At 47.7% G+C, this 12281-nt stretch overlaps 1 protein-coding gene across 5 annotated transcripts, besides 1 other annotated feature; it reads right to left on the bottom strand.

Annotated features, from left to right (window-relative positions):
• Positions 3888-11605, bottom strand: IL37 (interleukin 37). 5 transcript variants are annotated; one of them, NM_014439.4, is made up of 6 exons: positions 11522-11605; positions 9676-9807; positions 8916-8978; positions 5522-5641; positions 4993-5135; positions 3888-4209 (listed from the first exon to the last, which is right to left on the bottom strand). In NM_014439.4, exons 2-6 carry the CDS (start codon positions 9755-9757, stop codon positions 3961-3963), a joined length of 657 nt encoding a protein of 218 aa, NP_055254.2. In that variant the 5' UTR covers positions 9758-9807; positions 11522-11605; the 3' UTR covers positions 3888-3960. The 5 variants fall into 5 exon arrangements, with proteins under 5 accessions (NP_055254.2, NP_775296.1, NP_775294.1 ...); NM_173204.2 differs by lacking the exon at positions 5522-5641; NM_173202.2 differs by lacking the exon at positions 8916-8978.
• Positions 5685-5734: an enhancer, noted in NCBI's record as "active region_16408". NCBI's record gives its function as "activates an Ori minimal core promoter by ATAC-STARR-seq in GM12878 lymphoblastoid cells {active_cell/tissue: GM12878}" and the evidence as "EXISTENCE:reporter gene assay evidence [ECO:0000049][PMID:35858748]".

Below are 12281 nucleotides of genomic sequence, written 5' to 3'. Positions count from 1 at the left end.
GCTGGATAGCTCATTCATGAACAGAGTGCCGGGTGAATAAGGGTCTTCTCTTTCTACACCCGAGACAGCCTTCTTCTTGTCCCCACCTGCCTCACCCTGCCCCAGGACCTCGGATGGGGTAGGAGGAGTGACCAGCTGTGAAAGGAGCTTCTGGTTGGAATGTTTCCTATGGGAGTTTCTGTCACAGATTAAATGCCCTGAGATCACCTTTTGAGAGACATTAAATTTCATGGGATGAACAGTTATCATGTTGGGTATTATGAGTTGAATTATGTCCCCCAAAAAGATATGTTGAGGTCCTATCCCCCAGTAGCTGTGAATGTGACCTTACTTGGAAATAAGGTCTTTACAGATACAGTTCAACTTAAGATGAAGTCATTCGAGTGAGCCCTAATTCAGTATGACTCTGTCCTTATAGGACAATCTGGACACAGAAACACAGAGAGAAGACAGTCATGTGAAGATGGGGGCAGAGACTGGAGTTTTGCTGCCACCAGCCAAGGAACCCTGGAGCTACCACAAACTGAAGGGAGGCCTGGAACAGATTCTCTCTCAGAGCTCTCAGAATGAACCAACACCTGGAGTTCAGACTTTGGCCTCCTGAACCAGGAGACGATACATTTCTGTTGTTTTAAGCCACCCAGTTTATGGTTCTCTATGGGAGCTCTAACAAACCAATACTTTGGGATTCTCAGGTGTGAGGCATAAGGGCCAAAACTTTTTCACTAAACATAAAGACCAATGATTACAATTACAGTTAGGAAAATGAAATTCAAAACCACCTGAGTTTATTTATACACATTTTCCAAAATGCATCTCCTTTGCAAGGGAAGTCATATTACTATAGAAATATGGAGAAGGCCATCATTTAAATAGAAGGCTTCCTTTCCTTTCTCCCTCCCTCTCTTTTTTCTTCCTTTCTTCATTTATAAAAATCTTATGGAGTTCCTACAAGTGCCAAGCACTGCAGTGGGTTCTTGGGATACATCACAGAGCAAAGAACTTGTGGGACATACATGCTAGTGGAAGACACAAACAATAAATGTAAGAAGAAAACTATACAGCATGTTAGAGTGAGAAAAATAAGACAGGGCAAAGGGGAGTCAGTAGTGCTGGGGTGAGAAAAGATTGCAGCATTAAATGGGGTAGCCAATTTCAAACTATCAACATCAAGGCACAGACACAGAGTTTGGAAGAGATGTTAGCAATTGGCTATTGCAAGCTGATATAAGCTAGCTCCAGCACACCACCACCACCTTTAAGCTCTGTGTTAGTGCAGGGGTTGGCAAACTGCAGCCTAAAGGCCAAATACAGCTTATTGCCTGTTTTGTGTATTTGCCAACACAGCCATGCTGTCTATGGCCTTCTTTGTTCTGTAACAACAGAGCATGTGGCAGGATATATAGAATCTGGCACTCTATGAAAAGTGCTGACTCCTGCTCTACAGGAGAAGAGACCACAGATTGACTTCAGCTTCCAAATACTCATCCCGGAGTCAGTCTAGAGCCTGAAATTTAGAGCCTGAAGCACAGTTTCCACCAGAGGGCTGCAATGCATGATAGTTGGGGTTTTTCACCTCTCACCCAAAAGCCTACTCAATGCGATCACCACAACCATGCCTTTCATGAAGTCAACAACAAACAGGGCCTTGTGCTTCCGTAAGGTGTTGATGCACTTGCTGTCTTGGTGGAGCCTCACAGGAAGCATGAGTGACCCATGTCATAGTGACTCACTATATCTCATCAGGTTGGAAGGGGATGGAGCAGGACCAAGCCCAGGCTGTCTGTGTCTCCATTTGGCCTGCATGTTCGGCCTCCTCAAGGCCATGGTCAGTAAGCCCCATCTCCTTTCTGCTAGTCTGTAAGGGAACCAGAGTCCTCACTGCCATGAGACAGCCCCGGCTCAGAGACTAATTTGAACAGCTGTGTCTTTGTTGTGAAAATAGTTTTGTGATATTATGAAGAAGACATGCCTTCCTCTCCAAAATATGGATGTCACCTGGCCACATTTTTTTTTCTTTTATATAGTGATACATAATATTTCACATATTTATGGCATACATGCAAGTACTCATTACATGCACGGAATGTGTAATGATCAAGGTAGGATGTTTGGAGTATTCCTCGCCTTGAATATTTACCATTTCTCTGTGTGGGAAACATCTACTAAATATACTATGTACTTTTTTGTCACTGGGCTGGTGTTGATCACCATCACCATCAGGATCAGAAACAGAAGGAGCTGACCTTATCAGAGCTTTTCCCATGGGTATCATCTCACTTGAGCCTCCATGCCTGGGGTGCTGTCCCTACTACTCCTTTACGGCTGAGCTTTGTCTTCCTGCCCACCACCCACACGCCTCTCTCCTGGGATTAGCTCTCTAGCTCTGCTTTGAGGAACATCACTGGCCTCGTTGGATACAGTCTTGGAGGGAGTATTGATCAAGGTGTGCTGCCCTTCACTGACCAAGGAGTCGACACATGACCCAAACTAGGGCAGTTGCATGCTTTGCTTGGAATCTCAATCTTTTGCTAACTGACAAAAAGCATGATTGGCTCTTACCCATCTGAGTGATGGGACCAACGTTTTCTGCCTTCTGTCATTTCTGGCCTGCCAGAAATCCCTGACTTTTTCTTCAGCATGTCTTTCCATTTTGAAAGTTACTTCACATGATAGGCAGAATAATGGCACCCCGAAAATGTCCACATTCTAATCCCCAGACCCTGTGTATATGTTACATGACATAGCAAAAGGGACTTTGCATCTGTGATTAAAGTTAAGCCTCTTTGAGACGGGAGAGTATCCTGGATATTGACGTGAGCCCGATGTAAATTGCAAGCGTTCTTATATGTGAAAGAGGAAGGCAGGAGGGTCAGAGCAAAGCAGTGTGAGAAAAACCCAAGCAGCGAAGATGGGAGTGGGCCACTAGCCAAGGAATGCAGGTGGCCTCTGGAAGCTGGAAAAGGCAAGGAAATTGACTCTCCCCTAGAGCCTCCCAAAGCAATGCTATCCTGCTGATACTTTGATTTTGGCCCAGTGAGACACATTCCAGACTGACCTCCATAACTGCAAGATAATACATTGCATTGTTTAAACCACTAAGTTGGTGGTAATTTGTTACAGCAGCAGTAAGAAATGAATATACCCAATATCCTTCTAGAAAGCTCCTTTTGTAGTATACTTGTTGCTTAAATAAGCTAGAAGCTATTATTATTGCTTGTAACTGAAGAGCTAAAACTAATAAACTAATTTCCAAGCCTCAGTCTCCTGTCTCCACCCCCTCACTCTGTTTCCAGGCCCTGATTTCTGTTCGGCCAGCCTTCCACTCCCCCATTATGAGGATCTGAGCCCTGCTTAGTGATAGGACCATGCCCTTGTTGACAAGCCTCCCAGACAGTACCTGGCTCCTCCCTCACCTGGTCTCCTGGCTGTCATCTGACCCAGATTCCTTGTCTCTGTGCCTTTCCCACAGGTCAAGTCACCCTGCTCCTTATCTGGGACCTAACTACCCCTTTTCCACTATCACTTGGCTGGATTGTGACTTGCTGTTACATTTCTTTCTTGCACACTGTACCCTAGACACAGACTCAGCCACTTCTGCCCCAGGATCAATGCCCTCAGAATCTACCAAACCCCAGTAGGAAAGACTAATTCTAGAGCACAGCATGCACCCAGCTGCTCCTTCCCACTGCAAGTATTGCACTCAGACTGGCCACATCATAGCATATGACACACACATGCATGTCTGATGGTTCAGGGTAGCAGTACACAAGCAGAAGCCGGTCTCTTTCCAACCCAGAACTTTGTAATTAAACAAGCTTCTTGCTATATCCTAAAAACACAAATCCTTAAAGCATGAATGAGAAATGAAACCCAATGACAGAAAGTTTAGTGAGCAGGTTTGGTGTTTTTATACAATTAGTTCAAATTAGCGAGGAAGGCGTTCAATGGGGCAGTTTCCTAATCGCTGACCTCACTGGGGCTCATTTCAGCTTTGCAAACTGGTTGAAATGAAAATTCAATGTGTTTCCTGTTCTCAAATTTATCTGTCACCCCAACAGGCTCATTACAATTGCAGGAGGTGCAGATGAACCATCCGGGGTGAGCCGCCGACTCCAGCATGTTCCAGGAGCCCACCTGAGCCCTATAAAAGATGAAGGGCCGGCGTGCTGATTCCTTTTGGGCAGCCAGCTTCATCAGTTTCTCCTTCTGTGAGGTAAAAGGGATTAATTAGATAGCACAGGCTTTGAGAGGGAGGAAAACACAGCACATGTGCTCATCCTCCAGGCCTTTACACAGGAGAGGAGGAAAAGAGAGAAGGCAGATGGTCCTTGGGAAAGATGACGTGTCAGCCTTGGTACTGGTATTTAAGGGATGATAAGCAATCCTGCCCTCTTTTCCAGGCCTTCTTGTCCCCCAGATTAAAAATAAACTGAGAGAGAGAGAGAGAGAGAGACGTAAGAGTCAGATGGATACCAAAATCTCAGCTCTATAGTTTTTAAAATTAGAGAATATGGCTTAGATCTGTATCTAATTCAGCTTCCTAAGATTTCTCCCCTCAAGTGAAAGGTGCTCCATCCAGGACTAAATTTGCAGGGCAGACACACTGCCCTCCGAGTGCTCCCTCACACCCTCCTACCCTACAGCAGCACGCCAGGGTCCTGGCCCAATTGTGTTGCTTGCCACATGGAGGGCCACAGCAGGAGGGGACCGCCACCCGCCCAGGGCCAGGACCAGTGAGCCCAGGAGAGGAGAACAGGTGCTCAGCTCCTTGCTGTCTCCCCGCTGTGAGGAGTCTCTCCTCCTTCCCTAGAAGGGGCAAGGAACCAGAGAAGAAGTTATGGGGCTCTTCTGCCTGGTGCTTCCAGAAAGGTGGATGTCCCTGTTATATTGGCCAAGATAAGAATTTGCAGGAAAGCGAGAGGCATTGAGGATCTTGGCCTTTTACTTTGGGGTAGCCAAAGGCCCAGGAAACTGAGCTAGAACTCTCACCTTCAGCTGAAGGGATGGATGACTTTGTCCTTTATCCTTGTCACAGTAGAGACAAAACTCCCCTTTAGAGACCCCCAGGAGAATCGGACTTCCTTTCTCCGCAGAGGCTGAGCTCAAGGATGAGGCTAATGCAAAGAAGATCTCTGGAAAAAGACAGTCAGAACATGTGTGGGTTCTGAGAGCAGGGAAAGGTCTCTCCTGTCTGCTGGGGTTTCAGGCCTGATGCACAGTCCCTCTCCCTTGACTCTGTGGTCCACTTCTCCCTCCATCACACTGGTTTAAGCCTCCTCTTCTTCCAGTCTAAGTGTCTGCCTCCTTCTTTTTCTCCAGCCCTTCCAGAAAGACTACTTTCAGATCTGGTCATTGCTAGAGACCCTTCATCTGATGCCCTAGTCCCTGGGGCCTCTCCTCCTCGCTTCCACCACCTGCTGGAGATGGGGCATGGTATAGCATGGAGTTGAGCCCACCTAGCAGGAGGCCTTACCCCTGCTAGGTGGAGGCAGAAAACACAGCCAAAACTGAGAGTCACCTGGGCGTATGTAGTTTTTATCTGGAACTGCTATGAGATTCCCAGAGTCCAGGACCAGTACTTTGTGATCCTGGTCATGAATGCTGAATTTCTTCGGGTTTAAGTTCTTCACCTTTGGACCTAGATCAATATCACCAGATATCAACACTTCACATTGAAAATGGAAGACTCAGCCCTTTCTTCCCCACGTCCAAGGGCCCCAGCCCTAGCTCTCCACCCTGCCTGTGGGCTCAGACATCACAGCCACTGAATATTTCTTCCACTCCCAGGCTTTCTATCTTGCTGGGACAAGCAATTAAGCTTTCTGTGCAAGCAAATGGGTTCCAGATTTGGACAGATAGATTCAAATCCCAGCTCTGCTGTAGGACAGAGGACAAGTTACTAAGTCTCTCCAAACCTCAATGTCCTCATCTGTGAAATGAAAGTAATAGCAGCACCTACTTGAGAGAGGAGTTATGAGAACTAAAATGCTTACTCAAATAAGTAGCACTTAGCCTGAGCAAAGAAAATGTCTGGCGTATAAAAAGGACTTTTTATAATCATTGTTTTTCTTAACTCTCTTTTTTGCACCCTCTGACTGGAGGCATCATTCCCTCAGCAGTGCCTAGAGTGGAACAGATCCCTGCACTGGCCAGGCTAAGGGAGCGGTGATGGAAGAGTTGGGAGGGTTGGAGGCAGGAAGCCCCCAGGAGCCCAGCACGGTGCAAGGCTGAGCTGGAGCTTTAGTGGCTCCTTTGAAAAGCCACAAATCTTGCACCTGGCCCTGGAGGAACAACTTCTAGCAGCAGGACCAGCCACAACAGTGCTCAGAGGGTTCTTAGGGCGTGGGCTCCTAGCAACTCATTTGGGCCAGGCCTGCCTAGAGTAGGGTCTTAAAAGGGAACGTTCCCTCCTGGCCTCTGATTGGACAGGTGACCCTCACCTCTGCAAAGAGCTCAGGCACTTGTTTGATAAAGAACAGGGGCCCCCAGGCTGGGCCAGTGACTGTCAAGAATGGGTGGGTGGCTGGAAAATGGCAAATGTGACAATATGAAAACACAGTAACCACCACACTATGTGAAGCTATAATATGGGTATCTGTGGTAGGCAATTCTAATGTAGAGAATAAGTCTAAGGTGTCATTCTTTTCCCATGCCATAAGCACATGGCCTCTGCCTGGGTTTCTCACTGTAGAATGTCCTCCTGGTCTCCTCATGCCCAAAGAGTGGGGAGGACTCCTCCTGTAACACCGGCTTTCCTGTCATCTCCCTGCAGCCCTCCTCAGCCCCCTCTGCACAGGGTAGCTTCCTCTCTGGTGCTGCAGCGCTCTGCACTCGTCAGTGGTACCTGCACACAGGTATTGGCATCCTTGGCTCGCTGCCCTATAGCACTGTAAGCTCCCCAGGAGCAGGCTTCCTATCTGACTCACCCGTGATCCTCCACCTCCCACCCTGTAGTGCCCCAAGCATCGTGGACACTCTCAGTGTCTATGGAAGAGATGACTGGCCCCAGGCAAGATCCTAAGTAACTCCCCAGTGATATGGGGTCAGATGAGATCCATGGTTATCAGCCCTGCCTTACATCAGAATCTCCTCAGGAGCTTTTCTGGGCCCATCCCAGGCAGTCTGAGTTCATGGAGCAGGTGCAGGTTGACTGAGAGTCACCGAGCTAGCTGAACTCTAAGCTTTTCCATTTCCCACACTTTAATGTGCAAGAAATCACCTGCAAACTATGGTTCAGTAGGTGTGGGTGGTGCCAAGCCTCTGTCTTTCTGATGCACTCCCAGAGCTGTGGGTGCTGCTGGTCTGAAGACACCCTTTGAGTGGCATGGCCTAAGGCTGTGACTCTCACCCCTGGTGCACACTGGGAATCACCTGGTGGGTGGCATTTTAAGACCATGGATACCTGGGCCTCACACTCCTGAGATTCTCATTCAGTTAGTCCAGGGTGAGACTGGAAAATGCTCTTTTTAAGAAGCTACTTTTCTAGCACCATCATTTTACTTTGTACCTCTTAAGCGCTTCTTAAAGCTGTTCTTTCCTTTGGTTTCTGTTTCCCTCCTATCACAGCCTGACATAGGATCTCAGCGTCTCACATGCAGACTAGTTCACTATCCTCTTAAGTGGTGTTCTCGCTCATGATCCTTGACCCCAAATCTTTCTCAAGGCCACTCTGAAGGTGTGAGTGGTCTTAAGGTGCTGGCAGTTGTTTTCTATAGGGAAGTTGTACTCCAACAGCAGCAGTAACATCAGTGCCAGCGCCAGCTTTAGGGCACTAGTAACTTTCTGTAGGGCAGTAGCTCTCAGACTTTCAAGGTGCGTCACGATAACCTGGAAGTCTTGTTAAAGCAGCCCCTAGAGCCTCAGCGCCCTGAGTTTCTGAGGCAGGAGGTCTGTGGTGGGGCCTGGGAATGTGTATTCCTAACACTTCTAGGCGCTGATGCTGCTGACGTTTGAGGACCAGACTTGGAGAACCACTTCCGCCAGATTTGAAGGAGATCCCAGCCCTGACAAGGAGAAGTCAGGACAGGCCCGACAGAGAGGCTTGTGTGCGTGGTTCCACCTGGAGTGGACACAGTGCAGATCCAAAGCCAGCAATGGTGTAACTACAACAAAACTAAAACATCAAAGGTAACTGCAGCAGCAGCGGTGGAGAAGTGACAGCAGCCTCCCCCAACTGTGCCAGGCACCCTTACACACCTGGTCCCATTTGGTCCTCTCTGCCATTGTACTAGTGAGGCTCAGTATTCCCACATGAACCTGCACTAGAGCTGGGGCTCAGGCTGAGGCCTCCTGACTCTGTCCTGAGAAGAGGAGGTGATGGGAGCCTTAAGCCTGAGTCAGGCAGACAGACGTTATAGTACCTTTAAATTTCCACATCTGTCACTTATTACCTGTGTCACCTAGGGCAGGGAATCTCCACTGTCTGTCTCGGTTTCCACACCTGAACAGTGGCAATGTTAACAGTTTCCTATTAGGGTGTTGTGGTGTTCAAATGGCAGCATGAGAGGAAGGTTCAGGCTCTGAAGGCGCCGCCCTGAGCCCTTAGTGGTGTGGGTGTCCCTGCACCCCCACTGGCCCCATGGCTGTTTGTCCTCAGTGCTGGGAGGAGGTCTGTGTCTCCAGTCTCTTGGCTATGGTCAGAAGAGGCACCTGGAAGGTTCCCAGGCACAAACTCTTCCTTGCCCTGTGCCTCTTAGCAGGTGAGCATCACCTGCCCCTCCCCGGGCTCATCTTTCCCAGAGTTATCTCCTAATGGGATTTGCTTCCACAAAGGAAAGACTTCAGCCCCATCCAGCACCCTTAGGTGTCCCCATTCTACAATTCTCCCACCCTGTAAGAGGACCCAATGGCTCCATCCCCCATCCCCACCCTCGCACCTCAGCCACCCCCATCACCTCACCCCGAGGCCTTACTTGTGTGAACAAAATTCATGGTGGGGAGGCTTGGGCCTGGTTCCAGGGGGCTTCCAGCCGGGTCTGCAGTCAGACGCAGTGAGGTTAGCATATGCAATTCGGATTTTCCAAGGATTTAGGGGTATCAAAGACCATTTAATTCCCTCTTCTGTGTATGTGCTGAGAAATACTAGAGCAGCATGATAGTAATGACATTAAATCATAGCTTCCCTCTTCAGAAACATAGAATAGAGATGAACTGGATCACGGGTTTGGCCTCTGGCATGTCACAGGCCTCTCCCGTCACACCTCAGTAGACAATCATTTGGGTCAAAAGCCTCCTCCTATTGTCCCCCATGGGCAACACCCAAATGTGTTCCTCATGGAATACTCAGATGCCCTGTGCCTGGGTCATTTGTTCAGCCCAGCCTTAGAGAGCTGCTTCTCATCGGAGGCTTCTCTTCCACTTGGGAATGTTGGGAGGGAAGAGGTGCATTTTGAAGCATATGCAACCATCCAGTTGGCAAACAGGATGCTAAAGCCCCAAATCTGTAGGTGAGGACGATCCTTTTATCTACTACCTGATGTGCCTGGACACTGAAGCAAAGCTTCCTTTTCCCTTCCAGAATTTCTCTTGTCTAGTTATTTGTCCAGGGAAATTTGAAAGCTCACTTACTGTGCAAGTCAGCAGGAAACAACTGGGTCTGTGCACAGCACCTAGCAAAGTTCTGCTCTAGGAATTACACTTTGGCCCTGAGGTAGATTTCTACAAGAACCTTACCTTCTAAGCAGCACTGGGGTTCATCTTTTTCCCAGTCCTCAGAGCCCATTTTCACTCCTGAGTTCTCCCCCACAAAGGACATTTTCAACGTTGAGTTTATTACTCAACAGAAAATGGAATGAAGTCCAAGACCTAAGGAGATAGAAAGGGGACCAGTTATGGCATCTTCTCACCCCAGGACACCTTGCTGCATGTCTCTAGTGCTGAACAGACCACTGGCCTTGCTCTGTAGTTTGAAATGCTCGCTGCAACCAGAAAGGCACCAAGGGGCCAGACCATGCTCTCCTGTCTATCACGCCTTCAAAGCAGAATTTCCCAAACCTTGAGTCACAGTGCTAACACACGGGGTGCAATAGCATTTTTGTGGATCTTGGCATTTTACAAAAATAAAATAAAAAAGTTAAAAGTGCATTGCTCTAGTCTTGGGGCTGGCACACTATGGCCTTTGGCCAAATCCGGTCCCTGACTGTTTTTTTAAATAAAGTTTTATTGAAACACAGCCATGCTCTTGTTTACATATTGTCTCTGGCTGCTTCGAGGCTACAATAGCATGGTTAACTAGTTGAGAGATCATCTGGCAAGCAAAGCCTAAAATACTTACCATCTGACACCTTCTATAGAAGTTTGCTGAGTCTCTGCAGTAGCCTAATCTTTGCCTAACAAAAAGCAGTTGCTCTGCAACCTCTTTTCATGAAAACCTAAGCCACCAAATGTCCCAGGAGGCTCAATCCCTAATATCTTAGGGTAGGATTGACTCACGTGACTTGCTTCATTGGGAGGGGTTGGAGGAGATATATTTATATATATAAATTCTGCACACCCTATCTCAGTTGACCGAGAGCTTTCAACATCAGCCCAGGCCAACATAGGACAGAAGTGGAGCAAAAATTGGTATTCCCATCTTACCGATAAAAAATCAAAAGTTAAGTGATTTGTTCAGAATCATATCACTTCTAAGATTGCAGAGATAGGCAGTTTGTGTACAAATCCAATCCTTTGAGAAAGGTTTAGGAGTGAGACAAAGGGAACTAAATTGTTCATGCAAAAAATAAAAATGACAAGGAAGGGCTTCAGGACTCAACAATAAGGACGGTGAGCAGGAGCAGGTGGGTAGAGCTGATGGGTCTTTAGGAACAGGGATATCTGCTATTTGATTTTAACCTGTTTGTGGTTTGGCAGTATCCCTGAATACATGAAGCACAACTGCCTTTGTCATGTTGGGGTAAATCAAAGGACACAAAAAATTGGAGGCGCTTGACAGAGAATTTGGCAGCCAGAACATCAGAGCAAGAGATGTCTGGCAGAAACGTAGGTATCCAAAGACATATAAAGATACTGTGGTGCTGCTGAAGGACAGAAGGATGCTCACAGGCTGGAGGACCTGGGGCCATCCCTCGGGGGTACTCATGAAATCTGCTGCCTGTATTAAGATAAATGCAGGGAGCTTTCACAGAATTCCCTAAAGAAGCAGTGCATCTGGCCATCTGAAGTCCATCTCTTTGCACTCAAAATCTGTTCCCAAGGACCAATATTTTCTAGACTCTAAAGTCAGTCTTCTGAGCCTTCAGAGAAGGGACTAGCATTTCCAGGGTTGGTGGATTTCCTAAGCTAGTGTCTGCCTGGCCCTCCAGCAATGCCCTACTTGTTAGTGGAAGCCCTCCTGGGAGAGAGCAGGCTGCTACTGGGGCTGAGAGCAAGGTGTTCTGGGCAGGTCTCAGAGATCATATTTAGAAATTCAGATGTGCTTCCAGTGGGGATAAAAAGCAAGGGTCTAGATGGCCAGATGCTACTCTACTTCCCCATCCATCCTGTTGGCCTTGAAAGCCAGTGCAGGAGGACCACCTACCTGGGCCAGGGATCCTCGTGGTCTGTGGCTCTGTCTTGGACTCCTGGAGCTCTGTTTGCCTTCAGTTCTCAGGATCCTTTACTTGAAGGAGCTAGGTCTGGTACTCATTTGTAATCAACAGTTTGTGAGTGGTTATGCAAATACAACACAAGTATTCCTTTGGCCAATAATAAATAGCATCCTCAGTTATCAGTGATCACTCATTTCCTGCTATTTTCCATGCCAACGGTATAAACAAATTCCTGTGGGGGTAGTGCCACTCTGCTAAGGACTGTGCCACACCTATTCAACACATTTCAAGGTACTTGTGATAGATCAGGTGGCTTCCAGTCCAGTCCAATAATACAGGTATAGAAAACAGAGGAGAGTGAAGGAAAGAGGGGACACAGGGTTTAGATCAGCCAATGAGCCTGGGAGGTTCAAGGAAGCCCTTGTTCTCATGATGGTTCTTTGCCCCAATTCCAGAGTTCATGCAAGTGGAGTCCCCATGTCCCAGAGAAAAATGTCCTCTTTTCATGTTCCCTTCCAGGTACACTCCGGGATGCACTATACCTCTTCTATGTCCCCTCTTCTTCAAAGGTGACATGCAAAAGGACCTTCCTTGATCAAGCCCTCCAAGGACTAGCTTCCTTCTACAGCCCATTAGCTATTTATCTGCACTTCCTTGCATTTTTCCATCACATTTGCCCTTGTCAGTTACTGTGTATGGCTATGTTTTACAACACCACACACAGCTGCTCAGTATGAGGGGAAATCCACA

Source organism: Homo sapiens, chromosome 2, assembly GCF_000001405.40.
Source record: "Homo sapiens chromosome 2, GRCh38.p14 Primary Assembly".
In the NCBI taxonomy this organism is placed as follows: Eukaryota; Metazoa; Chordata; class Mammalia; order Primates; family Hominidae; genus Homo; species Homo sapiens.
Note: the sequence above shows the minus strand (reverse complement) of the source record. Positions and strands in the feature narration are given on the sequence as shown.

Excerpts from the sequence above, each read along its gene's own strand:
- IL37 (NM_014439.4), bottom strand. The coding sequence starts at position 9,757 with ATGTCCTTTGTGGGGGAGAACTCAGGAGTGAAAATGGGCTCTGAGGAC. Across the intron at positions 8,979-9,675 it reads ACCCCAGTGCTGCTTAGAAG|ACCCGGCTGGAAGCCCCCTG; the intron begins GTAAGGTTCTTG and ends GTCTGACTGCAG. Across the intron at positions 4,210-4,992 it reads ATCCATCCCTTCAGCTGAAG|AAGGAGAAACTGATGAAGCT; the intron begins GTGAGAGTTCTA and ends TTTACCTCACAG.